The sequence below is a fragment of the Homo sapiens genome, chromosome 5 (assembly GCF_000001405.40).
Source record: "Homo sapiens chromosome 5, GRCh38.p14 Primary Assembly".
Taxonomy (NCBI): domain Eukaryota; kingdom Metazoa; phylum Chordata; class Mammalia; order Primates; family Hominidae; genus Homo; species Homo sapiens.
The window spans coordinates 172,428,656-172,456,644 of NC_000005.10; the positions used below are offsets into that span (position 1 = coordinate 172,428,656).

Here is a 27,989-nt window from a genome sequence, read left to right on the forward strand (position 1 = left end):
GGATAGAGGGACAATCCAGTTACTGTGTGGCCCTCCAGGTGATGCAATGTGAAGTATACACAATCTGCTGTTGGTATTGTTGCCAACAATGTTTAACTTGAGCTCGAGCTCTTGACCTAGGTTCTAATTTACAACAAATATAGGAGGCAGAGGAACAAGATAAATGACATCATAAGGAAGCAGACAGATCTGGAATGGGCAATGTTCTACAAGTCAACTAGCAGGGCACAGCTCAGATGCTACTGCCTCCAGAAAGCCCTCTGTGACCGCTCCCTGCCCACCAGTATGAGGTTGGGTGCCCCTGCTATAGGACTCCTTAGCACCCACTTTCCCATCACAAAGCCAATGAACGCTTTACTGAAATTGCTCAAGTGTCTGATTTCCTGCTGGGTTCTAAGTTTCACGCGAGCAAGGACCTGGCCTGTCTTGTTAATGGACTGCTGTATGCCCAGCACTGGGCAGGGTGGAAAAATCTAGGCTTCGTGAATAAATGGGGAAGAAAATGAGATGCCAGGAGGCCAAGCCCTCACAGAGAGGAGTGCTTCTCCTTGGCAGGCCTTTGGTCTGTAGAAAGGGACCCTGGCCATGTTGCTGAGGTGGTCCTGCCCCCTTGCTTTTCCTCTCTGTCCCCTGTGCTGCTTCACCACAATCTGCAAACACCCCCGCCCCTTGGGAGCAACATGTTTTGGGGGAGCAGCTGGGACTGCTTAAGGAACAAGGAAGCACAGAAACCACAACTGGGGTTAGAGAGTCACGGAGGTTTTCTTCTGTTCCCAGACAGGATTTGAGCCGGAATCATCTACCCTTTAAATCTCTTCTTACACAATCTCAGCAGCAGGGCCTGTGTGATCTAACCAAGTCCAGACTCTCCAACCTGATTGCAAACCCAGTTTCACCAGGAACAGAAGTCCCGGGTTTCCTCACTTCCTCTAAGTCAGCGAGAAGCCAAACTGGTGGTGAAGGGAGGGTGGGAGGAATTGGGGTGGGGTGTGCTGAGCCAGGATCCTTTTGCAGGTGGGTAGATGGCTGAACTTGGTCTCTTCCAAATCCCCGAGCCAGCAGGCCAGGCTAACACTTCCCATGTTTTCCCAGCAAAGGACGGAGGCTCAGAAGTACAGTGCCTACAGTTGCACAGCTATGACGTGCAGAGCAGGGACTCTAACCTAGGTCACCTCTAATCCTGCCATGCCATGCCCCAGCTTGGCTGCAGCTGGAGCATGGGCCAGCAGGGAGATGTCTGCTCACCCTCCTAACTGTCAGAGTGACCAGTACATCATCCTACTGTTCTGCGAGGCTGTGGAGTTCTAGGGTCACAATGGCCTCGATTTATATCCTGCTTCCTTCTCAACTAGCTTTGTGCTCTTGGGAAAGTGGCTTAACCCCCATGACTCAGTTTCCTCATTTGTAAAAAATGAGGTCTGCAATACTACTAACTGCAAAGTTGGGGCGAGGATGAAATGAGAACATGCATGTAGATTCTTTCGCTTGGTGCCTGGATATGGTAAATGTTCCATAAAGAGAAACTGTCAGCAGCAGCATCATTGTGAGCAGAAGGTCACAAAGGTGAGGGAACCCTTGTCCCTGCTCCTTCTCCCTACAAATGAACTTCCCACAGCCCGTCCCACCTCTCTCCAGCCCACACCCATCTCCCTGGGCTCTGCCCTCTCCACCTGTCCTTTCTGTTCTCTGGGTCCCACAGGGGTGCAGGGGGATGGCCCCCATAGTCCTGGGAACACAGGCCCACTGTGCCTGAGCCTGGGGCACAGGTTTCCCAGCTTCCAGAGTCAGGGCTTTGTCCCTCCCCATGGGTGCCTGTGGGGAAGGCCCTGACACCCCCACCCACCCTGGGCCTCAGTCTGAATGGAAGGGAGCCATTATCTGACCCAAATGCCAACTGCCACACACTTGAGAGCCTGACTGGCGCCCAGGCTTCATCTTTCCTGGCTTTCCTCCTCCACTTATGGTTGAGAACTGTCCTAGGTCAGCCGGACCTTGCCAGGAGCTGACATTGAGAGGAAGAGTGACACTGCTCATGGATGGTGTTAGGTGTTTTGTGGCCTGGGCCAGAATAACCCTCTTCCTCTGAGGACCAACCTGTGCCAGGGCCTCCAAAAGCCACTTTTCTTAAACTTGACCACTTTGAAAAGGCAGGAAAGAAAACCAAACCCCTGGCCAACGCCCCACTTGAGAAGTAACCACCTGTTCTTTCTTTCTTTTTTTTTTTCTTTTGAGATGGAGTCTCGTTCTGTCACTCAGGCTGGAGTGCAGTGGTGCGATCTCGGCTCAACGCAACCTCCACATCCCGGGTTCAAGCGATTCTCATTCTTCAGCCTCCCAAGTAGCTGGGATTACAGGCGCCCATCACCACTCCTGGCTAATTTTTGTATTTTTAATAGAGACGGGGTTTCACCATGTTCCCAAGGCTGGTCTCGAACTTCTGGTCTCAGGTGACCCACCCACCTCGGCCTCCCAAAGTGCTGGGATTACAGGCGTGAGCCACCGCGCCCAGGCTGTAACCACCTGTTCTGCCTAACCCCCATGGCCACAGCTGACTGGCTCATGGACACCATCACGTGATCCAAGCCCGGCCAATCAGGTTCTTTCTTTCTCAGAAATCTGGGATCAGCCCTGAGCATGCCAGCTCCATCCAGAAGAGCTGCAACCCGGAGCCGTGCTCCAAACACTAGGTCTGCAGAGAGGATAAGTGAAGGAGAGGTGTGGGGAGAAGAGCGACGGGGAGAGCCTGGCTTGGCTTCGGGTAGTATTCCAGTTCCTGCTTCCCAGGCCTGCCCGCCCACCGGAGGCTACTATGACGCACAACAGGGGCCTGGGCCTTTCAGCTAATTCTCCTTTTGGCATGATGAGGGTTTTTGTGCAACTAAAACAATTCCATGAATTACAGGGGAAAAGTTCAGGCATTATCTTAGGTAAAAAGAACAAGCTAAAACAATGTAATCTCAATCTCAAAAAAATTCTGTAATGATATCAACTGTATATAAATGCGTGTGGGTGTTTATATACACAGACACCCATTGCACACACACACACAGCTGATGCTCATTGTTTGCGGTAGTTACGTTCTGTAAAGTCACTGAGAACACTGATTTAGCAAATACTCTAGGAGAAATACAGGGTTAGGGTCTTTCGAGCCTATGTTTTGTTTTTGTCAAGTGATCAATACATAACTTTGTTGCGTGTGTGTTTCTCTTTAAAGATACCTTATTTAGGCCGGGCGCAGTGGCTCGTAATCCTAGATCACGCGTGTAGTCCTAGCACTTTGAGAGGCCAAGGTGAGCGGATCACCTGAGGTCAGGGGTTCGAGACCAGCCTGGCCAACATGGTGAAACCCCATCTCTACTAAAAATACAAAAATCACCCAGGCGGGTGGGCGCCTGTAATCCCAGCTACTGGAGAGGCTGAGGCAGGAGAATCGCTTGAACCTGGGAGGTGGAGGTTGTAGTGAGCTGAGATTGTGCTACTGCCCTCCAGCCTGGACAACAGAGTGAGACTCTGTCTCAAACAAACAAAGAAATAAACAACCTTATTTAATATGCATGGTTAATTCATCAACGCTGAACTCAGAGTCAACAGCACTGCAACTCGTGCCTGAATGAAGCTTCTCCATAGGCACATCACAGCCATCTTGCGTTTAGGCTCACCAGACAGCATGTTAGCACAGCATTTGTGGGCCATACTAAACAGCAAAATCAACAAAAAGCACAGAAATGTACAAATGCAGCACTCATAGACTAGGACAAGGATTCTTGTTAAGAGTATGGGAGCTGAAATGAGGGGGGAGTGTCGCTCATTCAACCTCAGCTGGGAACGTGCACGTTGGGTGACGCAAATTTTTCACCGCTCTGCACGTGCCCATGTCCGAAAATGCCCACAAAAGTGCTTCGAGTATCGCTTTTGAGTTACAAATAAATTTTAGCAAGTAGGCAAATTCGCAAACATGAAATCTATGAATAATGAGGATTGACTGGCTGGGTGCGGTCCGCCTGTAATCCCAGCATTTTGGCAGGCCGAGGCAGATGGATCACCTGAGGTTAGGAGTTCAAGACCAGCCTGGCTGGTGAACCTCCGTTTCTACTAATAATACAAAAATTAGCCAGGCATGGTGGTGCATGCCTGTAATTCCAGCTACGCGGGAGGCTGAGGGAGAAGAATCACTTGAATCTGCGAGGCGGAGATTGTAGTGAGCTGAGGTTGTGCTTTGCACTCCAGCCTGGTCAACAAGAGTGAAACTCTGTCTGTCTCAAAAAAAAAAGGGGGGGGGGGGGGAAGAATTGACTGTACCATATCTAAATGTATGTGCGTTTGTGTGTCTGTACACACACACACACAGTTACGCACCACCTAACGTTTTCCAATGACAGACCACATATACAACAGTGGTTCCGTAAGATTATAACACAGTATTTTTACAAAACCTTTTCTATGTAACACAATGGTGAGTATTTGTATATTCTAGTCAAATACTCACCATTGTGTTACAATTGCCTACAGTATTCAGTACAGTAACACAGTGTACAGGTTTGTAGCCCAGGAGCCGTGAGCTATACCACAGAGCCTAGGTGTGTAGTAGACTATACCATCTAGGTTTGTGTAAGTACACACTGTGATATTCACGTGATGAAACTGCCTAGCAACACATTTCTCAGAACTATCCCTGTTGTTAAATGACACATGACCAAGCATATATATGTCAGTGGTTCGCTTTGGGGTGGTATGAATATGGGGGACTTTAAAAATTCTGTTCTTGATGCTTGTATATTCCAGATTTTTTACACTTTATTTTCTTTTACAATCAGAAAAAAAGATGTCGCTTTCTAGGAGCACTGAAAGAAACCTGTCTGTGGGGCACTTTCTTGTCTTGAACCCCAGGCCAGCATCTTCTCCGTTACCCTGGCTCAGTCCTAGGGCCACCAAGGAGCCCCTGCCGGGTGCCAGCCCAGCCGATGGCACAGGGATGCCCAGAGTGGGGGTGGGAGAACACTGGCTCACCGGCCGGGAAGCCAGCAGATGGGCCCCAACCCGGAACTTACTATGGGAGTGAGGTTAAGTCCTTGACCTCTTACAGCCTCTCTGTTATCTGAAAAATAGAGATAAGGTCCATCCTACCTTGCAAGCTAAGCTCTCCAGAAATGGAGAGATCTCTAGAAAGGAATCCATGTTGGTTGGTTGGAATCTCTGCTCATGGTGGGACTTGAGGGCAAATGTTCACTGAATGTTGCCCAACCCTTCACCTCCTCGCGGGGTCTAACTCCAGTCTAAGGGGATGGGGACTCCCAGTGTCCAGAGGGCCCCCATTAAGCATGCAAGAATTTGGGCACCATTTCCAAGCAGTAACAGCCAAGGGGTCAGCTCTTCCATGAATAAAGTGCTAACAATCAATAGCAGAGTAGACTAACTATAGTTAACAACAGTGTATTGTGTATTTCAAAATGGCTAGAAGAGAGGACTTGAAATGCTCTCAACACATAGAAATGACAAATATTTGAGGGGACGGATACCCCAAATGCCCTGACTTGATCATTACACCCTCTATGCATGCAACAAAATATCATAAATGTCCCATGAAAATGGACAAATATTATGTATCAATAAAATATAAAAAGATTTAAGCCAGTATCAAGCTTAGAGGCTCTTGACAAACAACAGGGCCAGGCTATAAACAGGCCAAGATACCTCTGCAAGCCCCCGGCACCCCTGGGTTAGCTGACATCCTCATCCTTGCCGACCCACTGGCCCAGATCTCTGCAAGGGGCTGTAGCTCTTAGAAAGGCCCCAGAACTCCATCGATACGCTGTCCCCAGGGTCGGATGATGTGAAACAGCTGCCGCCCTGCTTCCCCTGCCTCCGGAGCTCTGTGAGCTCCCAAGTGTTCACCATGTGAACTGGAAAACAAGGTAAAAAGTTTTTGCCCTGCTAGTAAAATCTCTGAGGCATGGGGGAATGTCCTCCAGTCTTACTTTCCTTTACAAATCTATTTGGTGGGGTTTTTAGGGTTGTCAAAGAATCCAGCTGAAATTCCTGGCTGGCATTAATTACAAGGGCTGGGGCTGCCGCACTGGTCCCATGACAAAGTTATTACATTTTGGTCCTGGGATGCAATGGCCAATGGTTTTTTTTTTTTTTTTTTTCAGACAGAGTCTCGTTCTCTTGCCCAGGATGGAGTGCAGTGGCACGATCTCGGCTCATTGCAACCTCCACCTCCCAGGTTCAAGTGATTCTCATGCCTCAGTCTCCCAAGTAGCTGGGATTACAGGCATGCACCACCATGCCCAGCTAATTTTTTGTATTTTTGGTAGAGATGGGGTTTCGCCATGTTGCTCAGGCTGGTCTCAAACTTCTGAGCTCAGGCAATCCACCCTCCTTGGCTTCCCAAAGTGCTGGGATTACAGACGTGAGCCACCACACACAGCAGGTCTCCTTTCTTAAAGAAGGCACAGAAGACCTCAGAACAGGCGACACTAGCCAGGAAGAACTTAACACATTGATTTTTCTCTTTCTTTTGAATTTCATTTCCTTCTATTTTTAGCAAGTGCTACTACTGGTTTTCCCCAGGTATAGTAGACAGCTAAAATTTCCATTTAAAAGTAATTTAAGTAAAAATGTGAGTCAATTTGAAGAATACTGTATTAGGAATATATACTGTAGGGAGTTTGTGGATATGTCAAAAATTATGATGGTGCTGGTAAGATTGAGAATGAGGATGGTCCTGTGTTAGTGGAATTCCTTGCCATTCTCACTGTATCTGGAGGTATTTGTTTGTTTGTTTGTTTGAGACAGGGTCTTGCTCCCTCTGTCATCCAGGTTGGAGTACAGTGGTGTAATCACAGCAGCCTCGAATTCCCAGGCTCAAACAATTCTCCAGCCTCAGCCTCCTGAGTAGGTGGAATTACAGGCATGCACCACCATGCCTGGCTAATAAACAAATTTTTTTGTAGAGATGGGATCTCAGTATGCTGACCAGCATGGTCTGGAACTCCTGGCCTCAAGCGATCTACCTGCCTCGGCCTCCCAAAGTGCTGGAATTATAGGTGCGAGCCATCACGCACAGCCAAGTTTTGTTTTTTTATAGATCAACAGCTATAACCTTTCTGAAGTCAGAGCCCTCTCCTGGCTCTGCAAGCCTGGTGGATAGCCAGGAACAAATTGGGTGACTGAAGACAACATCTCAAGAGAAGGCACAAATGGGGCCGGGGCTGTTTCCTTGCAGGGGCTGTGAGAAAGCAGCATCCGCAAGACAGAACCCTGTGGTCCATTAGCAATGTCTGCCAGGGGCAGGGGCTGAGGGCTAGTGAGATGGGCGCTACCTACTTGGCATCCCTGGTCTAGATCAATCCCTCCATTTTACAAATGAAGATAGGGAGGTGCTGGCCAAGAGGTGCAGTGACTTGCTTAGGGTTACACTCTCAGCTGTGGACTCTTTCTGCTTCCATGACAGTGTCTGAATTTCCTTGCAGGTTCCTTGTGCCCCTATGGGCCTCTTACATAAGAGACTTGCCCAGAGAGCTTTAATCTGGAGGGCTCTTAGAAGTGACTCAGGCCAGCAGTGAAACTGGCCTCCAAGAAGCCCCAGGATCCTGGAGAGGCCCCGTGGGTGGGCTTTTGGGCCATCCACCCCAGTTTCCATAGCGCAGTGCCACTTTTGGCTCTTCTGTGTATGCTACAGGGTATAACCCAGCAGCCTGCAGCCAAATCATCACCAGAACTGCCTCTATACAGGGCCCGGGCTCCTTCACCGGCCACAGCCCTATTCTGCCTGCTTCAGGCAGACAACAAAGGGTTCCAGGCCTTTAAAACATTTGAAAACCCTCTTCTAGACTATCCTTTGTTCTATAGTTAGGGACATGAGGCCAGAGGGGAAAGGGACTTGCCCAAGGTCCTGTAGCCAGCAGGGAGGAAAGCTGGAACCAGAAGCCAGGGCTACCATCGGGAGGTGCTGAGAATGCGGGCCCTCTGCTCCAGACTGCTGTTTCTCATACCTACGAAACAGTAGAAGCCTGTGGAGATGAAGGGAGCAAATATGCTGTCTCTCATGCAGTGCACGGAGGGGCTAGGGCTTCCGCTCACAGGCTACACAGCTTCTGCAGCGGGTCATCAGGCTGTGATTGCTAAAGCCGTCCTGCTCTACAGCCAGAGCAAGCTTAAATGCCAAAGCACATGCAGCTCTGGGCTCGAGGAGTAGTGCTGGCTTCAAGATCCAGGTGAATTCATTTCCTGTAGAGAAGGGTTCAGGACTATGTCCGAAGGTCCCTAGGAATCCACAGACCCCAGTTTCAGAAGGCAGCTAGCTGTTAAGAAGGGGGTTGGATTCCCTCCATCAAGCTCCCACACTGGCTGGGTTCCCAGGTGGCAGATCCTGGGAAGAGCTTGGGAGTTAGTGACTGGCTGGGTTGCAGATGGCTTGCTCTGGGAATATGCTGTCTTGGTCACACAGGCCCAAGGTGGATAAGTATGGTCCTCGTGGGTGCTGGGGAAGGGAAAGCAACAAGGGCAAGGGAGAGATGGAGAGCGAGGAGAGGGCAGGGCGGTCGGATGGAGCTCCACGGGCTTGACTAATGGGAAACCCGACTCTGCCACGCTTCGTGGAGACCCTGGGTTCCCTTTGGTTCTGATCTGTTGACTGTCCCCAGCTTTGTGTCCAACATCTGGCCTATATAGGTCAGCACCTCCAACCTCTTTTTGGAACTGCAGCACCCAAAGTTTGTTTGATTTCCCAACACCCCAGGGCAGCATCACCACCAGAAGTGCTGAAGGGGGAGAGGAGGAAACCGAGGCACAGAGCCATGCTGCGCCTGAGGTCGAGAGGCTGGGAAGTGGGTGACATGAGATCCAATCCCAGCCCTGCCAGCCTCCAAAGCCTCTTCACTTTCTTCTCCCAGCATCCCAAGGCCTTGGGTCTCCTGGCCCCAGGCCAGAGCTTTCCGGTCCCCACGTCAGCGCCAGGAATCACCAAGCTCAGGCTCTGCAGCAAGTGACACACTGGAGGTGGCAGGCTGCCAATATTTTTTTCCCCCAATTTTTTCAATTAAGTGAATGCTTGGATTAGGGCCAAAATACAAGTGCTTGTGGTGTCTTGCGTCAGATGAGACACTTAGGGCTGTGTTCCTACTGCACTCTGTCCACAGGGCACGCAGCGAAGGCTCAGGTGGCTGGTTGAGCTGAGGGCTCCGCTTATCCCTGTGTGCAGAGGTGTGCCAAATGGGGAAATGGCGGCAGGAGTAGGGGGAGAGGAGTAGCCTCCAAAGTGGGAATCTGATCTCTCTCCCCCTGCCTCAAACTCTTCAGCTCATTCATTCATTCATTTGGCATATACACAGAGACCTACTGTGCACCAAGCTCTGCTCGAAGGGCCTCAATCGAGAAAGAAAACACACCACACAGGCACAACGTGGGGCTTAGGGGCCTGTGCAGTCTGCCCCTCCTCTGCTCCAGCCTGGCTGGCTTTCTCTTGCCTCCAGGACTCAATGCCTGCCACTGCCTCTGGCGGGAACATTTCCTCTCCCTGCCCTGCTCAGCTCCTCTTCATTTCTCCAGCATCAGCCTAGAAGTCACCTCTCCTTGGAAGCCTTCCTGGACACCCCAAGTCTCAGTCTAGCTCCCACTCTCTGAGTTCCCACAGGGCTAGGGCCACCCTCTCTCAGAACCTGTTCCTCTAGGGGTGCTGGTCTCTTTGCATTACTGCACCCCCACTGCCCTGGGGGCCCTTGGGGCAGGGCCGGGTTTGTCTATTCACCATGGTCCCCCCAGTGCCTGGCGACAATGAGCTCTCAGGAAATGCCCGGTAAAAGAGACAAAAAGCCGAAACAGGGCCACACAGTCAAAAACCAAGGTGACCTCACTCAAGGCTCTCTGTGTCCAGAGAGTAACAATGCTCGTGAAATAGCTGAATGAACAGCTCTATTGCCAAGGGTACCAGAAACAGAGCTGGCTTTGTCACAGAGGGAATGCAGGCATGGGACCCAACCCAAAAAGGGAAGTCCACGTTCCACCCCAGAGTTTCTCTGAAGAGGTAATGGCAAAAAACAGAATACCCAGGAGTGATTTAAACTCCAGGGGGAATGCCTCATCCCACTGTATGTCAGAGACAGTAAAGCTGAGGGAATTCTTTGAGGTGTTGGAACTGTTCTGTAGTGGAGGTTACAGGAACCTGCACATCATAACATGCTACACCAAAAAACAAAATTTTACTGCGTTACACCACAAAAGGGAATTTTACAGCATCCACGTAAAGTAAAAAATTAAAAATAACAATCATGCTTTAATGTCATTAAAAAAAAAAAAAAGATGGCAGGGTGTGGTGGTTCATGCCTGTAATCCCAGCACTTTGGGAGGCCAAGGCGGGCAGATCACCTGAGGTCGGGAGTTCGAGACCAGCCTGACCAATGTGGTGAAACCCCGTCTCTACTAAAAATACAAAAATTAGCCGGCCTGTGGTGGTGCGCACCTGTAGTCCCAGCTACTCAGGAGGCTAAGGTGGGAGAATCACTTGAACCCTGGAGGTGGAGGCTGCAGTGAGGCAAGATCACGCCACTGCACTCCAGCCTGGGCCACAGAAACAGAAAAAACAGAAAAAAAAAAAAGAAAAAAAAAAAACAAAAACAAAAACAAAACAAAAAAAAAACCCCAAAAAAAAACCACAGGCATCGGCTTTAGAATACCTGACTATGAATCCTGCCTCTATAGCCTGATGCTGCTGTGACTTTGCAAATCACCTCACAGCTCTGAGTTTCCATTTCTTCACACCTGGAAAATGGAGAGAACAGTACCTACTTTATAGGGTTGGCTGAGGGCTAAAGGCGCTAATGCATGTCAGGTGCTTGGCACACCATCTGGTCACAGACAGCTTCCAGGGCCATCACTAATAACCCATTATGGAGATTAGACACTGGAGGCCCCAACCGAGTAGCCATCTTCCTTGGGCCAACTCAAATCTTGCAAAGTGAGATATGTTAAGAGGAAAAGTCGGGAATGTCAAGCTGTAAAAACCAGGTATGTGTGTGCGTGCGTGCGCGCACGCGCGCGCACACACACACACACACACACACACACACACACACACACAGCTGCCCACCCTCTGGGCTCCCCTAACTCATGGAATCTTATCCAGCGGCATGGGCAGCAGGAACTATTTCCAGGGTTGGCCAGGCCAGGCATCTCCACTCTTGCCGACGACTGAGACACTGGGCTGGTGGAAACACTCGCTGCTCCAGGCGTGCAGCTCCAGCCCAGGCCTCTGGCTGCCAGCTCACGCACTGCTACTCACACACATCTGGCCCGAGGCGGCGTGGGGAACTTTCCAATGGCAAGCAGAGGTGCTGGCAGCTGGAGCCCAGGCTCAGCCGGAACCAACCTGAAGGCTGGCTTTCTAGGAAAGTCTCCAGGGCAAGCACTTAGGGCTTGTTGAGATCTCCAAGGCTGCCAGGCCTCAGAGGAGCCTGGGCAATGAAGGAAACAGACCTGGGTGAAAGATTTCAAGTGAGGGCCTCTCTCGTGTTGACAGAGCTGTCCAGAGTGAATGGAGCCGCCAACAAGAGCACCCACTACGCGCAAGGCAGTAGCATCAAAGCTGTCTTCAAGGAGCACGCGGTCGAGATGGCAAAGTAGCAATCCTGCACGTCCTCCTACACAATCACCCGCCTGGGTTTCTGCCACTCCACCCTGCATCCCCCAGGTCTGACCTCCTGCCTCCAGCAGCCATTTTGGCCCTGCCTCGATGGGGCTGTGGGCAAGGGTGAGACCTGGGGATGCTGTGCCTGGATCAGGAGTCTAGGTGTCGGGACTTGCATTTAACGAGCGGGCAGGAGAGCTCAGGAAGAACATCCCCAAAGTGCAGAAGGAGAATTGACACATGTCATCCTCTCACCTTTCAGCCCCACAACCAAAGCCAAAAATGTCAGAGCAGAAAACTGCAGAAGTCAAGACAGTTCAAACCCGAGCTCCCACTTAGGGCTGGAAACTGGGGCTCTGACTGGCTGCATCATGGGGAATCTCAGTAGGGAGCCACCAGGTCCCGGGCCGAGGCGTCCTAGAGAATGTCCAGGGCTCTTCCAGCTGCGAGGCAAGGCCATGCCACACGCAAAAGGAAACCAAGTCTCAAGACAGCAATGGTGGAAGCGACAGACTCTGAACTGGACAGACCTGGGTTCAATCCCAACTACAAGACTTAAGTGGGGGTCCTAGAGAAGCTAGTTAGGAGGCTCAGTTTTCCCATCTGTAAAAGGGGGGTGCTAAGAACCTGTCTCTTGGGGGCTGCTGTGAAGTATAAATGGGATTGTGCCTGTAACACCCCTGGTACAGTGGTGGCTTATAACCCCCTTCCACGTAAGCAAGAGTGAGCTCCACAGGCCCAAATCAATCCTAAAACATTACGATGAACCAAGTGAAATTGCCATTTTTATAGGTTAAATATTGACAATTTCATATGGTTCAACCTAACAGCATCCCAGGGGCTAGAGGATCTCATTTGTGTCCACTAAACTAGACTAAGAGTTAGTACTCTTCACTTCAGTATCAGGCACAGCAATGACCCTCCTTCCCCCTCATTTAGAGACGAAGAAGATACCGAGGTTCTGAGAGGTTAAGTAACGTGGCCCAAATCATATAACTGGAAAGTGACAAAGCCAGGGTTTGTACTCGGGCCTGGCTGCCTCCAAAGCCTGCAGCTTAAACACGATGACACACTGACTGCTCGGCCTGGGGCCAGCAGGGCGTTATCACATGTGATTGTGTCTCAGCACCAAGGACGTCAGTGGCCGTTGCCTTAGAATCATGGGACCTTGGGACTGCGAGGGTACAAGCAGTTAATGGCTTTGTTCAAGAAACACACTTGGGCTGGGCATTTATTCTAGGCCAGGCCCTGAAGACAAAATGGGGGGTTCACACCCTAGACGATGATGAACTCAATGTGTACGTGTCATGATAGGATTGGTCCACTGGGGCCTCAACGTCAAAGCTGGGTACCCTGGTGAGGTAACGGAAGGGTTGCCGAGAAACAGGCCAACTAGGCTGGTCTAGGATACCTTCTTGACAATGCCCCAACCGAATCCAGCCTCATCCTCCCTTCCCGCTGAGCTTGGGGTCAGGACAAGGAGAAGAGAACTAGATAGGAATGTAAAGGGAGTATGCTCTCAGACCCTGGGGACAGCCACCTTTTAGGGGTGTCATAGGGGAGGAGAAGGGATTCCTCCATGAAATCACATGTGGTTTCTGAAGGCCAGATTCTGTGGGTACCCTTGGCCACTCCTGGACCCCTCCCTTGTTGGGCTCCTAATCTGCCAGAGACTAATCCCTGCCCCTGTCCCTATGTGAGCCCTATGTGGACTTCTTTGCCATCCTACACTGTCCTCTCTCCTGTAGAGAAAACTTGGGTAGTAAATAAAATGTAGACAATTTACCGTAATCACTAACAACATTTAAGAGTCTAGAATGTGCTTAATGTGCTCTATCTTAGCAATCCTATGAGGTCACACTACCCTATCATTTCCGTTCTGCAGTGGAGAAAGGTAAGGCCCAAGGAGGTTGGGTAACTTGTTCAACCTAGGAATCAAACAGGCTGACTGCACGGTCAGAGGTCTTAAAAACTGTCCATGTTTCCACCATCAGAGATGATGCTTTGGGCATGCTTCTTCTCAGACCCTTTTCCTATGCATAGAAATATTTTTCAAAATTATGATCACACTATATATATGATTTGGTTTTTTTCATTTGCATGAGATGGCGGTCATTTCTCCACTTCATCAAACATCCTTTGGACAAACCACTTTTAAAGATGCCTTTATAGTTCATTGTAAGGCTATATATATCATTTATTTAATCATGCCTCCAGTGATAAACATTTAGGCTACTTTGAACATTGTTTAAATTACCATACTGCTGAATATCCAAATATATAAATCTTTGGGAGAAAACAGCTACAAATTTTAAGGAGTACATCCTTAATTAGAGTCTGTTTCTTAATATGTGGTCATTCCAGATGGCCCGTGTCACATCATTTGAGGTTGCTTACTCAAAATGCACATCACTAGTCAGATAAATGATGATGATGATGATGGTAAAGATAATAATAACAGGTAATTTATTCAGCACTTCTACATGCCAGGAAGGGCTCTAAACCCTCTACATGAATAATCCACAGTGGATACTCTTGTTAGCCTCATTCTGTAGAAGAGGAAACTGAAGCACGGAGAGGTTCAGTCACTGACTCAAGATCACACATGGCAGAGCCAGGTCCAGCCCATGCCATCTGGCTCCCAAGTTCCACCTCTTCCACCCAGAGGGGTCTTTCATCTTTTTTTGGAGCCATGAATCTCTTTGGCATCTGAGGAAACCCACGGACCCCTTCTCAGAATGATTTAAAATGAGTAAAACACATAGATCCCAAATGAAACTAATGATACTGAATTATAGTTATCAAAATGTTTCAAAAAACAAAATTATGACTATATGTACGTTTTTATTAAAACCACAAATAACAGAACCTCGTGGTGGGTCTAATGACACCGTAACTTGGAAATAGTAAGGAGTATAGATGCTCTCCAGGCATCCACGCAACGACTGTCAAGTAAGATGAAAATAAGGGAATCGCTATTTGTGACAAAGTCACATGTATTACTACTATCACCGCGAGTTGCTGCCTTCATTCATCACAGAAGGCAATGCTAAATTTCAGTCGGAGGTTAGTGAAAATTAAGATTTAATTCTTCCCCTTCTACGTTCAAGGGCCCTCTGAATTCCACCCATGTAAAGAACCCCACTGCTAGTCAGCTTTCCCAGCCCCTGAACACCCCTTTGCTTTTGAACCCAGCTGACAGTGCACCTCTCTGTCCCAGCAGGAACGGGTACTCCAGGCCCTGTCGCAGCCCTTATCCTATGGAGATGCATTCTGAACAGATGGTGACCTCTGTGAGGACAAGACTGTGCTTGGTCATCTTAGCCTCTCTCTGGCTCTGGGCCAGACCTGGCCCAGGGCAGACAATAAACCCACATCTGTGGAACTGACTGGAAGCCAACAGTGGCCTGAAGCCACAGGCTGCTGATTCACACCTTGGCTGAGGAGGAGGAAATGGTGACGCCAACGCGTGGGTTCTAGCTTTCTTTGCCAGCACAGCGGGCGGGGGGCCATGCAATTCTGCTTAATTAAACAAAACAGAAAATACCATGCTTATGTGCTTGAAGGCAACTTTTCCATTCAGGACGGAGGTCGGGGCTGGGAAAGTGACTATCCCCTTATTACCAGTCAGTGATAGGCAGGGGAGCCAAAAGTGATCCTGGCAAACTGCTTCACCTTTCTAAGCCTCAGTTTCCACATTTGTGAAATGGGCTAATAACAGCATCCATGTAGCAGACATGTATTGTTTTTGCCTGTCCAAGCTCCATGCCCCCTTCTCCCAGCAACAGCGCCCTGAATCTCCTTCCACAACTATCCCTCTCACTACCAGTGATTTCAGTGGGACCGTCGATCTTAATATCCCACTCACACCTGGCCCATAGGGTCAGGTAATCCGGCTGGGCCAGTCAGAGTCTCTCCTGGATCTGGACTCTTGAGTGGCTAAAAGGTCTGAAAATGGATGGATCAGCTGCCTGCCTGGTGATGTCCTAATACCTACTGGAGTTCCCACTCCCTGGATGGCTCCAGCTGCCCACGTTCTTTCCAAGACTGGGTGCTGAGCTTTCCCCCTGATTCTGACAGCCCCACCTTTCCAATACATTCTGTTTGGCTTAAGTTAGCCAGGTCTGTTTCTGTCACATGCAATCCCAGAATCCTGACTAATACTCCTTATCTCACAGAGCTGCTATGTGGATTCAAAGACATAAAGCATGAAAAGCCTTGAGCACATAGTAAGCGCTTAGACAAATGATAGCTCTTCTATACTGTTAAGAATAAAAAATTACTATTGAATCTTGAGAACAAAACAAATTTGGAGTTATTTAATTGCCCTGGAATTTCAGGATTACTACTGGCTTGCAGAGTCCCCTCTAATAACCTTCCCTCTCTCCCTCCATCTCCACTGTCTGCACATGGCTCATTTGGACAGGGGCTCCTGGGTCTGTCTGTGCTCTGCTCCCTGGATTCACCCATGAAGGGCTCTTCTACCCACCCCTCAAGTTGGGGAAGTGCTTCTGAGCACCAGCTCCTCCCGCTACTCCAGTGACTGCCTCTGGCCCCGAGCCCTGGCCTCAGCCTTCGTGTGCTGTACTGGAGCTATGGCCTTCCTGGGGGGGGACCATGCCTTCTCTCCTGTGGTTCTCAGGTCAGCCAGGAGCCCCCAGGTCCTTCTGGCCCCTCTACCCACAGAGCTTCATCTCCATTATTCAAACCTCTTCTGCTTTTTCAAACACGCCATGTGCCAGGGTTTCCATTTCTTTGCCCTCCTGTTCTCTCTACCTGTAACTCCTTCACCCTTGCCCACTTGGCAGCATCCCTCCCATGCTTTGTGACTGGCCTCAGGTCACCTCTGCAGTGCTGCCTTCCCCAGGACCAGGTCCCCCAGAAGCCCAGGGCACCTGTCTGCCTGTCAGGACACTGACCTTCTTGAGGTCTCAATCCCTGCTTTGTCTATCCACATGTCATCTCTGTCGCCCAGGCTGGAGTGCAGTGGCGCAAACATGGCTCACTGCAGCCTCCATCTCCTGGGCTCAAGCGATCTTCCTGCCTCAGCCTCTCAAGTAGCTGGGATTGCAGGCGAGAATCATCACACCCAGCTAATTTTGTGGATTTTTAGTAGAGATGAGGTCTCACTATGTTCCCCAGGCTGGTATTGAACTCCTGGGCTCAAGCGATCTTCTCGCCTCAGCCTCCCAAGATGCTGGGATTACAGGCGTGAACTCCCATGCCCAGCCCTTATAATGAAGGCTTCTTGGTGGTGGTTGCTGTTTTTCCAAAGTGGTAGCTCTGGCAGCTTTGCCAGATAAAGAATAGGATGACCAGTAAAATCTGAATTTCGGATAAACAACAAATAATTGTTTCTCATAAATATGTCCCAAATATTGCATGTTTATTTGAAACCGAAATTGAACTGGGCATTCTGCATTTTCATTTGCTAACTCTGGCCACCCTCAGCCCTGGGAAAGCCTGAGACAGGGCTGCAGAAGCAGGCAGGTGAGCTCTGCCCACAGCCCCTCCTCCCTTTACCACCTGAAGAAGACCCTGGGCTGAGAGTCATGCCCGCCTGCAGGTGTGCATCTGGGCCAGCAAATAAGGGAGGAGAAAGTCCTGCAGTTTGGAGAATGGGGCAGAGGCCGATGGCTTGTGGCGGAGCTCAGGTCCGCAGGCTTCTGCAGAGGCAGAGTCCGGAGGAGGCAGCCACACGAGCCCTGCCCCCGGCCCACTGCTGGAGGCACTGAGCCTCCTGAGTCTGTCATGTCAGCTGGTTCCCGTGTCACGTCAGTGGGCAAAGGATGCCAGCTCCACCCAGGGGCCAGCTGACCCCCCCGACAAGGGCTCTAGGATAGGGACCACAGAGCCTCGGCTTCTGGGCATTACCCAGGCCAGCAGCACCCCTCCTCAGGCATTCTGCATAAAAGCTCATTGGATCTCCCCAACAAAGCCCCCTACTGCCCAGAGAAGGCTCAGGGCCAACAGTGAGTGAATGACAGAACCAAATTAGAACCCAGGCCCTGCCTGCAGAAGCCACATGGCCTTCTCAATAAACCTGTCTTCTCTTTTGGCCACTTGTGGGTGCTCACAACTCCCTGGTTGAACCCACCAGACTAACAGGCTGCTCGGGGGGCAGTGGCTCCCTTTCCTGCAGCTGCAGGGACCCACAGCTGGCTTCATCGCCAAGAGGAAGGGGAAAACTGAGTCATGCAAAGCAAGACTGCTCCCCTGACATTCCCGCTACCACAGCTCTTTCTCCGAGGAAAAAAGGATGCACAATTTGCAAGCAGGACGTGAGTGTCACGGCGGGAACGGCACAGTCCCTCTAGCCTTCCTTGTTTGGCAGTGTGATAACTGGGCTGCTTGCCGACTTGCCTGCACCTCCGGTGGGAGGCAAGAGGATGCATGAAACGCCCAGGGAAGTGGGCTGTAGGGCACACCTCTAACCTGGATGACGTTTCTGGTGCCCTGTGACCTTAGGGTACAGACCATGCTGGATCTGCAGAACTTGAGCCTACAATTCTTCCCAACCCTATTTGGCTGCAAGCACGATGGGGAAGGGCCTGGACTTGCTGAGCAAGGAACATTTTAACTAGGAAAGCATCTGCCCAGACCTTCCCTCGTGGTATTTTAAACTCATCGCTTTCTAGTTCTCTAGCTCACGGACTGGAAAGCCACATCCAGAGACCTCCCTCTGTGGCAGGAGTGGGGAAAGAGCCTCTGAAGGCTGGTGCCTGCCTCAGGAGGACAGGAGAATCCTTTGGGACAGGATGGGGCAGCAGGATGTGGGGATCTGGCTGGAGCTGCCCCAGCTTGACGCAGCTTCTTTTTAAAAATGAGCATTTGCTGTTTTTTTATTTTTACTAAAAACAAGAATATGTGTTCATTGCAGAACATTCGGAAAAGAGAAAAGCACAGAAAAGCACAGACAAGCAGAAAAAAAAAAGGAATGACATTTTATCAGCTGTATTTCTGAGCTTACACAGACTCATATTTTCATCCTTCGTTTGTAATCAGGTGAAAATCAGCCTGAGCATGCTATTTTGCAAACCAGCTTTAGCTATTTAATATGCTTGTGATAGAAGATGGAACACAGTTTTACCATCTTGATGGTATTCTAGCTCATGGATATAGCACGTTTTATCTTTGCATCTCTACTGATGCACTTTTAAGTAGTTACCAACCTTTTATGATCATAAATGATACTAGGTTTGTACACTCCTAATATAGTTTACCATTATCAAACCTCAATTACATGCTAGGCCCCTTTAACTCTCACATTAGCCCTATGAAATTGGAACTATTTTTATCCTCATTTTATAGATGAGGAAACTGAGGCACAGAGGCTTGTCTGAGGTCACACAGTTGGTAGGTGGCAGAGCAGGGATTTGAACCCAAGCTGTCTGATGTACTTTCTCAGCCCACTAGAGGCGCAGAATGGCATTGATTCAAAGTCTGAACTAAAGTGACATTTAAATAATTTGAAGATATGACTGCTCCACCTCCTTTGACCCTGAGACACCTGCAGCAGCACAGAGTGCACCAGAGCAGGCTGGGACTTCTCCCATTGAGGATGACCGGCCAGGTGAGCTGAGGGGCTGGTGCATTGCACCTATGGGGTGGGGTGGGGGATGGGATGGGGGAGCATGGTTGACCAGGTCCCTAGCAGAGCATCCCAGATCAACACAGAAATGCCCTTTGCTTGCCACTCACTTGGCATACATAGCTTGCCTGTGTGACAAGCACCTACTTTTTCCCAATCCAAAGAAAGCAATAGTCGTTAAAGAAAAACCTACCCAAGGGGCCTTAAGAGGGCCCTAACTCTTGTGACACAGACACAGTAGAGGACAAGAACTCTCCTGTGCAATAGGTAGGAATGGCTCTGCCTTGCTCCCGGGGGCCTATCCCAGCAGCAGCATGGGCCCAGCCTGGGGCAGGTATCCCCCAGAATGCCTCTTGAATGAAAAGACCACGAAAACTGCATAGTGTGCCTTCTGGGCAGCAGGCCGGAAAGCGGTGCAGAAATTTAGATCACGACTATTATTATCATCAATAGTACTTTTCATGACTACCATTTATTGAGTACCTTTATTTTATTTTTGCCGACAGAGTCTCCCTTTGTCACCCAGGCTGGAGTGAAGTGGCGCAATCTCGGCTCACTGCAACCTCCACCTCCCAGGTTCAAGTGATTTATTGAGTGCCTTTTATACCCATGAGGCTGAGCATTGTGTGCTAGGTACTATGACTATTCCCATTTTACAGATCCTCACATAGTGCAAGGTCACCCCGCTCAGGAGCGCTTGAAGAGAATTCAAAGCCAGGTCTTTTCATCATGAAGGTAACGGTGGGTTGGAAAGACATGTGCTAGCAGTTTTATTCTTCCCAGCAGCAGGGCTGGAGCACAGATTCCGTGCATACATCACCAAAAGCCTGCACAATCGTCCCAGAAGGAAGTCACTGCACCTATTTTACAAATGTAAAAACTAAGGGGGGGCATTCGGCCAGTTGTCCAAGGCCATGAAGAACTTGAACCCAGATGTTTACCTCTAACACCCGAGTTCTTTCCACTCAACTTTGCTGCCCTGCCCTCTGTGTTCCCACAAAACAGGTGCCAGGGATAGGAGGAGAGGGAGGAAACTGGGGGCTGGAGAAGATAATGAAGCTAATTTGGGCAGCAGATCCATGGTTTGTTCTAGACCATTGGGCTCACCTGCTGGAGGCCCCTTAAGGGACTGAGAATGCCAGTAATGCCTACTAAGGGCGCAATCTACTCTTCCAAACTCAGCTGCTCAGCACAGTGACCCCTAGGCTTCTGGAGCCTGGCAAATCAAAGAGGGAGGTTTCAGGGCTGGCAGTACAGAGCCTGCAGAGCCATCACTCCAGGGGCACCATCTACCCAGAGCTTCCTGGGGTGAGAATGACTAAGGGCTGGCGGTGGCTTGCACTTCTTCAGTCGGGGCTGAATAAATGGTGAGATCAGAGAAGGGCCTGGGATGGCCCCAGTATCTCATATAAGGGGAAACCGGGGTCCAGAAGCCTAAGTGACCCATCCAAGGTCAGTCAGCTCCGTGGTGGAATCACAGGATCCCCCTATGTTTCTCCCAGACACAAGGGCATGTAGCCCAATTCCCACGCAGCCACTCCTTGCTGTGTGACCTCAGGCACATGCCTCCACCTCTCTGAATCTGCAGACTCCTCCAGGGGAAAACAAAAAACTAATGTAATTACCTGAAGGATTAGTATCCCAAATGTATAAATAAATCCCGCCAATCAATAAAAGACAAATAACCCAATATATCGAAAAACAGGCAAAGGACAAAAACTGGTAATTCACGGAAGAGGAAACTCAGATAGCCGATAAAGGTATGAAAAGCTGCTCAACCTCACTGGTGTGAACAAGCACCACTTTTGCACCTATTGGATTGGCAAAGACTGAAAAGTCTGATGATACGGAGTGTTAGCAAGAACAGAGAGCAAAGGGAACCCTGAGGATGTAAGTGCAAAGTTGAAAACACACAAACCCCAAGACCGTGGGACCCTGTGCAAGGAGGCAGCTGTAAGAAAGTCAACTGCTGGAAACATCCTAACAGTTCCCGGCACGAGCTTGAAAAAACAGGGGCATGTTCATCAATGCCATAGTAAGCGACAGTTAAAACGAACTGGAGCTAGCTGGATCGACATAGATCTCAAAAGTGCTTATTTATAGTTTTAAAACATTCACGACAATACAAGATTTTAGGGAATGTTAAAAAGGGAAAAACATTAAAAGGTCCATGGGCTGTGGTGGGAAGGGGATTGATGGCAAATGGGCGTGGGGGATCTTTCTGGGGATGATGGAAATGTTATAATACTGCATTGTGGTGACGGTTGCATAGCTCTGCAAATTTACTTTAAAAATAAGTGAATTGCACACTTACAATGGGTGAATTTTATGGTATGTAAATTATACCTCAAGAAAGCTGTTAAAAAAAATCCTATCTATTAGTCTATTTTTTATAAGTGCATGGGAATGATCAACATCAAATGCAGGATAGTGGTTTTATGGGGGAGGGGCAGCATCGGGGAGGGCGTCCGGGGGGTTTGCATCTGCGATGCTTTATTTCTTAAAAATAAAAACAAAAAAGTTTTGAAACAAATTGGCAAAATATAGAGATGTGAAGACTTGGAAGGTATATAGATATAGATAGCTATTTTATTCTATGTATCTATATATGTGCAGAATATTGTATTACTATATTGAAAATATACCCATTTGAAAGGGACCCAGTGCCCCGCTCAGGTTACCGAGGACACTTTGACCACTGTTATTCTTGCTGCCATAAATATTCCGACCATCCTGCTCCTCTTAACATTTAAAGATCTTGAGACAGAGCAGGCCAGCATCTCCAGGCTCCTGCTGCCGAGACACTAATGCTTCTGTACATCCCTCTCCAGTGCGGGAAATGGGGTGATCCAAATAAAACCCACAAATCCTACCTGGAGCTCTTCTTCCTCCCCCCAAGCTGAAGACAAGCTAGCTGGGGAGGGTCTCCCAGGATGTCACCCTCAAAAGCCCCTCTCCATTCATCCCCAAGCCCTCGGGCTCTAGTGCAGGAAAGATGCTGGCAGAGAAAGGCAGGAGCTCCCCAAATCTTCATCTCCCTGCTTCCAACAGAGGGCAGTGGCTCCAGGGAAAGGCTCTCCAAACAATATCATGGTTCATTGTCATCAGCCTCTCAGGATCTCACAGGCACCTGGAGCTTCTGGCCCTGCATTCTCCAGACCTGGCCTGTGGCTCTGCCCCTGGGCCCATGGATGATGTCTCTGCCTGCGGGTGACTGAGGCTGGGGCTGGAGAGGACGCCATTCTGATCATGGAGAAGGCACCATTTCAGAGGGAGCAGGTGGCCCAGCCCTGATGGGCAGCCCTGAACTCCGGGTGCAGTTCTCCAATGACATCTACAGCACCTGTGACCCTGTCCCTCACAGGCAAGTGAGTGATGAGCAGGTAGTGGCCGAGATGGCTGCAAATGGGGAGAGGGGTAGTGGGAAATTAGGGGGCGTAGTGAAGAGGACTCTCAAAAACTGACTTTATAGTCTATGGCGCAGTGGCTGGGGTGGGAATGTGTGTGGTGCTGCCCCCTAGAGGACATGCAGCAATCAATGCCTGGAGGCCTTTTGGGTGTCACAATTGGGAAGGGGGATAACTAGCTGGGTAGAAGCCAGGGAAGCTGCTAAACATCCTGCAATCCACAGGACAGCCCTGAAACAAAGAATGATCCAGCCCCAAATGTCAAAAGTGTTGAGTTTGAGAAACTCTGCCCTTGAGGGATGTAGCAGTATTTACACAGAAGCTAGAGCTCAGAGAGGCAAACCAACCAGTCCGAGGTCACACAGCAGAAAAGTTCAACTCCCCAGCTGATGCTGTCTCTCCAGGGTGGCTTCAGAAAAAGGGATACCAAATGGGAGTCAAAGTCCAGGCCTGCCAATAGCTGCCTTCATGCCCGCTCTTTCCAGATTGTGTGAGGGGTTGGGGTGGAGCTTGGGAACAGCAGCGGTCGCCCACCACAGGGATCTGTTTCCATTGGGTTTGGCCCCCCTGCCATCAAGGCAGTAAATGTTCTCTGTTCCTGTGGATGACTCAGGCTTCAGTTCAGCCCATTGCCCCTCCTCATCTGATGAACCCAGAAGCCTGGGCTAGAAGGGAGAGGGCCTCTTGAATCACATGAGTGACTAAAGCCACATGCAGAAAAACAAGTTCTTGATGAATCCCCCTACCATGTGACTTTGGCATGTTCCCAATCAGTGACAAGATACCTCAGGACAGGCAGGCAGGGAGCTATGCCTTTAGGGCATTTAGGAATGCCCTAAGGCAGCCTGTCATGCGGCTGCTACCTCTAGGAAATGGACACCACCATCCCCATTACACAGATGAAAAAACTGAGGCTGAGGTGACACAGCTACAACCTGGGAGGCCAAGATCTGAATCCCAATCTATGTTTTAACATAGAAACTTGTCTCAGGGGGCCCCCAAAAAGTGGCTGAAAGCTTCAAAAGACGGTTCTCAAAGCGCAAAACCTTCAAAAAACTGGCAAGGATGGAGCTGACACAGCAGAGAATGAAAAGCTTCCAGGTTTTCACTAATGATAAGAGAGATTTCCCAGTTTTTCAGAGGACTTTGCTCAGAGAAACTATAGGGGTACCGGATGTGGGAAGTGGTGTGGTCCTTTTGGGGTCCAGCGGGCCTGGATCTACATCCCTGCTTGGCTCTTGACTGTGACCTTAGGCGTGGGACCTCACTTTGCTGAGCCCTGGTTTCCTCATCTGTCAAATGGGCTTAAGGCCCTCTGCCTGATATGGGCGTGATAGGAGAGGCCAGAAGAGGGCGCGTGGACGATGATGGCCGGGCCTCGGTGGCAGTATCTATTCTCGTTTTTGCCAGCTCACAGACCTGGTGGGAGGTGGCATGGAGAATTCCAGACTTCCTCCAGTTGCCATGTTGGTGAAAACTGTCTTCATGCCAAAGAGGCAAACTCACTTACACGCTAACAGGCTCAAACAAGAAACTAAGATTTGGCAGCATTTGAAAACAGTTAACAAAAAATAAAAAAAGGAAGGAAAAAAAAAAGACAATTTAGCTCAGCTCTGGAATCAAGGGAAACTTCACTCTATATAAAGATGCCACAGGTCCAGGAAATAGCTTCCCACCGCCTGGCTAAGGGCTGAATAACTGGCTGCCCAGCCAATAACAATACAGACTCACACAGCACACCCTTTCTTGTGGAGAGCGCGGAGTGGGTTCCCGGCTATCTCCTTTCAGAATTTCACAGGCTATTCACGGAAGGCATGCAGATCTACTTTGTAAGAATTAGTTCTTAAAAAAAAAAGATCTGAAGACGACTTCCAGGGAGGCCAAGGAGCTTAATTTAGCCAGCCAACGCCCTTTTCTATTCATTGTTCTATACTTCTTTGTTAGGATTTTTTCCCTCCCTCTTACTCTTTTTCCCTTCCTGGTTAACTTCTCTGCAGCCAGGCTCCGCCACTGCCCACTTCTCACCGCCAGAGACACTATAGCCCCCTTCCCTGCTGTAATGAGGCCCTCCCCAAGGCCTCATGTGGGCCCATCACCCCACATCCCCTTTATCTCCACCTAGAACCTGCGAGGTGGTCCCAGGGCCTCCTGAATCTGCAGACGTGTCCCCTAGGTTGCTGCGGAAGCCACTTTCCACCTGCAGGTCACCGTCAGCCCCAGGCACCCCTGCTGGAGGGAGGGAAGCCCGAATGCAGCTCTATGTTCCAGGACCTGCAACCTCTGAGCCTCAGCCTTCCTATCTGCAAAACGACGCTACTGTCCCATTTTCTCAAGTCCTTGCCAGCTCCAAACAAGATTCCCATGTTCCAGAGGGAGATGCCAGGAGAAAACTTTCGTACATTTTAAAACAGAAGTTACTGGAGAGAGGGGGCAGGGGATGTTTTTAACCCTTTAAAGGCGTAGCCACTCAAATGATCCATTCCCAGAGATCTCCTCCATCGCCCAGGCCGGCTCTTGCCAAAGAACGGAGTCAAATTCGGCGAACCCTAGAGGGGCTACCTGTGGCTGGGGACTGCGGGTCTGCGCGCCTCTGGACAAGGAGGGGCAAGGCGGGCGGCCTGAGAACAGGCACTTCTGTCTCTCCCGCTTTCTGTCTCAGACCCCTCACCGGCTGGAGCCAGACTTTTCCACAGATGAGCAGGACGGGAGTTGGGGGGACACGGAGAAGACAGAAAGGGGTAGAGGAGCCGCAGGGAGGCGAGTAGGGGGGCGAGGCGGGAGGAAGGGATGGAGGGGGAGAACGAGGCAAAAGCGGGGAGGGGAGGGGAGGGAGGGAGGAGGAGTCGGGAGGGACCCGGGCAGCGCCGCCGCAGAGCCGAGGGGAGAGCAGGGGAGGAGGGGACGGGAAGCGCTGGAGGCAGAAGTTTTCCAAGCCGGGGGCCCTCGGTCGCCCCCGACGGGGCGCGGGCTCAAGGGGGCGTGGGGGCCGCGCCGCACTCACATAATGCTTGTTGGGCACCCGCCGCTTCTGCACGTCTAGCACCTTCACCTCCACGATGCTGCGCCGCGGCGGCATGGCCGCTCCTCCGCCCGCAGCGGGCCGAGCGCGGGTGCGGGTGGCGCGGGGTGCAGGGAGCGCTGGGGGCGCGCCGCCGCGGGCAGGGAACCTGGAGCTGAGCGCAATCGCAGCCGGGGCCGAGCACGAGCCGCCGCCGCCACCGCCGCCGCCCTTCGCTCGGCGCGCACTCCAGCCGGGCCCAGCCGCCGCCGCCCGCCCCCGGCCCGCCCCCCGCACCGCCCCCCGCACCGCCCCCCGCACCGCCCCCCGCGCCGCCGGCCCGCCCCCCTTAAAGGGCCCGGCCCCGACCCCCGCCCACCGCGCGCGAACCCCGCCGGCCACGTCCGGCCCCCGCCCGGCCTTTGTCCCGGTGCTGAGCCGCCGCGCCGGGGGAGGGGACTGGACTGACCCCGTCGCCCGTTCACTGATTGACGTATCGATTCATTCCAGCACTCTCGCTCCGGCAGCCGCCATCCACCGCCAGTTTGGAGAGCCGGACACCCGGGTTCGAATCCCGGCTTTGCCGCTTTTCCACTCTGTGCCCTCGGCAAGTTGCTTAACCTCTCTGGGTTGGGTCTCTTCGTCTATAATATGAGCCTAGTAGTACAAGCACCATGTTTGTCTTTTTGTGTCTGGCTTATTTCACTCGGCATAATGTCCTCAAGGCTCATCCATGTTGTAGCACGTGTCAGTAGTACCGCCTGCCTGCCGGTGCTGCGCCCGGGATTAAGTGCATGTGAAGCCATTCCGCAGTGCAGTCCATGGTATGAGTGCTGGCGTTCCTAAAGCCACCCCAAGCCCTGGTGATTCAGGAGGAGCAAGAGACCCGTGACCAGGTTCCCCCAGCCTCAGTCTGGGACATGGGGAGTGAGGGAGAGAAAAACTGCAACAAATGCGCATACGTGCAATGTAATTGCCATGGAAGCAACAAAAGGGGATAAAAGGGTGGTGACTATGTGTGAGGGGCAGCTGGGTGCTTGTTAGCAAGGCCATCGATTTCCAGTTGCGGAGCACTTAACTGCTCGCTGGGCCCCGTGGCCCCTGCTTTTCACAAATGCTGTCTTTGCATCCTCAGGCAGACTCTAGGAGGAAAAGGTGTTTTTACAGAGGACGGCCTCCAGACATTTGGACATTTCCAATGAGGCCTGAGGACCCTCTGACTTGGGAACTGTACTTCAGAAGAATGTGCCTTACAGGAATTACATCAGTGAAGGTCCAGAGTCAGGGAGCCGGTGGATGGAGCCCGTCACTGCCTGGCTCTAGGTGGATCTCACACGTTGAAGCTGCCGTGGCTGGGGCAGCTCCTCGTTTCTTCATCTAGTGCCTCCTAGCACTGGCTGGGCACTGAGTCACTTTCAGGAGATGTTGGCTGAATGAATGGATAAATGAATATATAATGCATGGATGGGAGGTTTAGGCTCCTGGCCAGTGTTTTCACAGCCAGTAAGTGGGGGCTCTTTTCAACAAACCGTACGACTCTTCTCCATGCCACGACAGAGCTACTTCCCACCCCGGTCCAGGATCAGCCTTTGGAAAAGGGTGGGCTTATCCAGGGTAGGACGGCTCTCAGCCTCGGCCAGGCCACGTGGATGATTTGGGCTGATTCACTTTGGATCCGCCCCTCCATTTGCTCCTCTGACTTCCTTGCCAGACTTTACCATCCTGCTCCAGCCCCAGAGGCTGGCCTGTGTGGATTTCACTGACAGCTCTCTGTCCTGGTCTTCCTGTTTGGCTTGGCCAGTGGAAGGGCCTGGCAGGAGATTGAGGGCAAGAGGAGAGAGGGAGGTCTGGGTATTTAATCCCTAAGCCCCTCCTCCCCGATTGTTTTTACCAAAGGTGCCCTTTCTCACATGGTCTCTCTCAGGGTTCCTGAAGCCACTTTTCTGCTCAGGACAGTGACAGTCTTGCTGTTGCAAGCCCTGGGTACTACGCCATCCTCGGTGCTTCCTTAGCCCCGCCCACACCCGTATACATTGACCCTTTACTAAACTGTCTTCATGGACCCAGCTTGAGGGTGGCATCTGTTCGGTGCCAGGACCCTCACTCATGTAATTCCTGTAAGGCACATTCTTCTGAAGTACAGTCCCAAGCCAGAGGGTCCTGAGGCCTCATTGGAAATGTCCAAAGAAGTGAAGGTCTGCTTTTCCGTCCCTGCCACATCGTGCATTGCCTTATTAGGAGCCAAGCCTTCCTAAGAAGGCAGAAGCTAGAGGCCCTCTCTGAATCAGCCAGCTTCCTGGGTTTTTCCGGAGAGGCAGAGAGACCTGCCCCCAGCCACACCATGGGTGGCAGAGGTGGGTCCTGCTGGCT

General features: G+C 50.9%; 1 protein-coding gene across 3 annotated transcripts in view, besides 4 other annotated features; it reads right to left on the minus strand.

The window, feature by feature from the left end:
- Window positions 1–25,870, minus strand: part of SH3PXD2B (SH3 and PX domains 2B) — a 129,345-nt gene extending 103,475 nt beyond the window's left edge. For all 3 annotated transcript variants that reach the window (NM_001308175.2, NM_001017995.3, XM_017009351.2), the window contains exon 1: window positions 25,623–25,870. In NM_001308175.2, coding sequence (NP_001295104.1) covers window positions 25,623–25,697 — 75 coding nt within the window. In that variant the 5' untranslated portion in view covers window positions 25,698–25,870. The remainder of the gene's footprint in view (window positions 1–25,622) is intronic.
- Window positions 2,598–3,098: an enhancer, noted in NCBI's record as "H3K4me1 hESC enhancer chr5:171858257-171858757 (GRCh37/hg19 assembly coordinates)". NCBI's record gives its function as "activates a minimal SCP1, AML or CMV promoter by ChIP-STARR-seq in primed H9 embryonic stem cells {active_cell/tissue: H9 hESC(primed)}" and the evidence as "EXISTENCE:reporter gene assay evidence [ECO:0000049][PMID:30033119]".
- Window positions 3,688–3,945: a silencer, noted in NCBI's record as "fragment chr5:171859347-171859604 (GRCh37/hg19 assembly coordinates)". NCBI's record gives its function as "represses an EF-1alpha promoter that drives an FKBP-Casp9 reporter gene in an ReSE screen in phorbol 12-myristate 13-acetate-treated (for megakaryocytic differentiation) K562 erythroleukemia cells {active_cell/tissue: K562(+PMA)}" and the evidence as "EXISTENCE:reporter gene assay evidence [ECO:0000049][PMID:32094911]".
- Window positions 17,690–17,984: a silencer, noted in NCBI's record as "tiled region #6627; HepG2 Repressive non-DNase unmatched - State 23:Low, and K562 Repressive non-DNase unmatched - State 21:Repr". NCBI's record gives its function as "represses a minimal TATA promoter and a strong SV40 promoter by Sharpr-MPRA in HepG2 and K562 cells {active_cell/tissue: HepG2 | K562}" and the evidence as "EXISTENCE:reporter gene assay evidence [ECO:0000049][PMID:27701403]".
- Window positions 24,836–25,357: an enhancer, noted in NCBI's record as "H3K27ac hESC enhancer chr5:171880495-171881016 (GRCh37/hg19 assembly coordinates)". NCBI's record gives its function as "activates a minimal SCP1, AML or CMV promoter by ChIP-STARR-seq in naive H9 embryonic stem cells {active_cell/tissue: H9 hESC(naive)}" and the evidence as "EXISTENCE:reporter gene assay evidence [ECO:0000049][PMID:30033119]".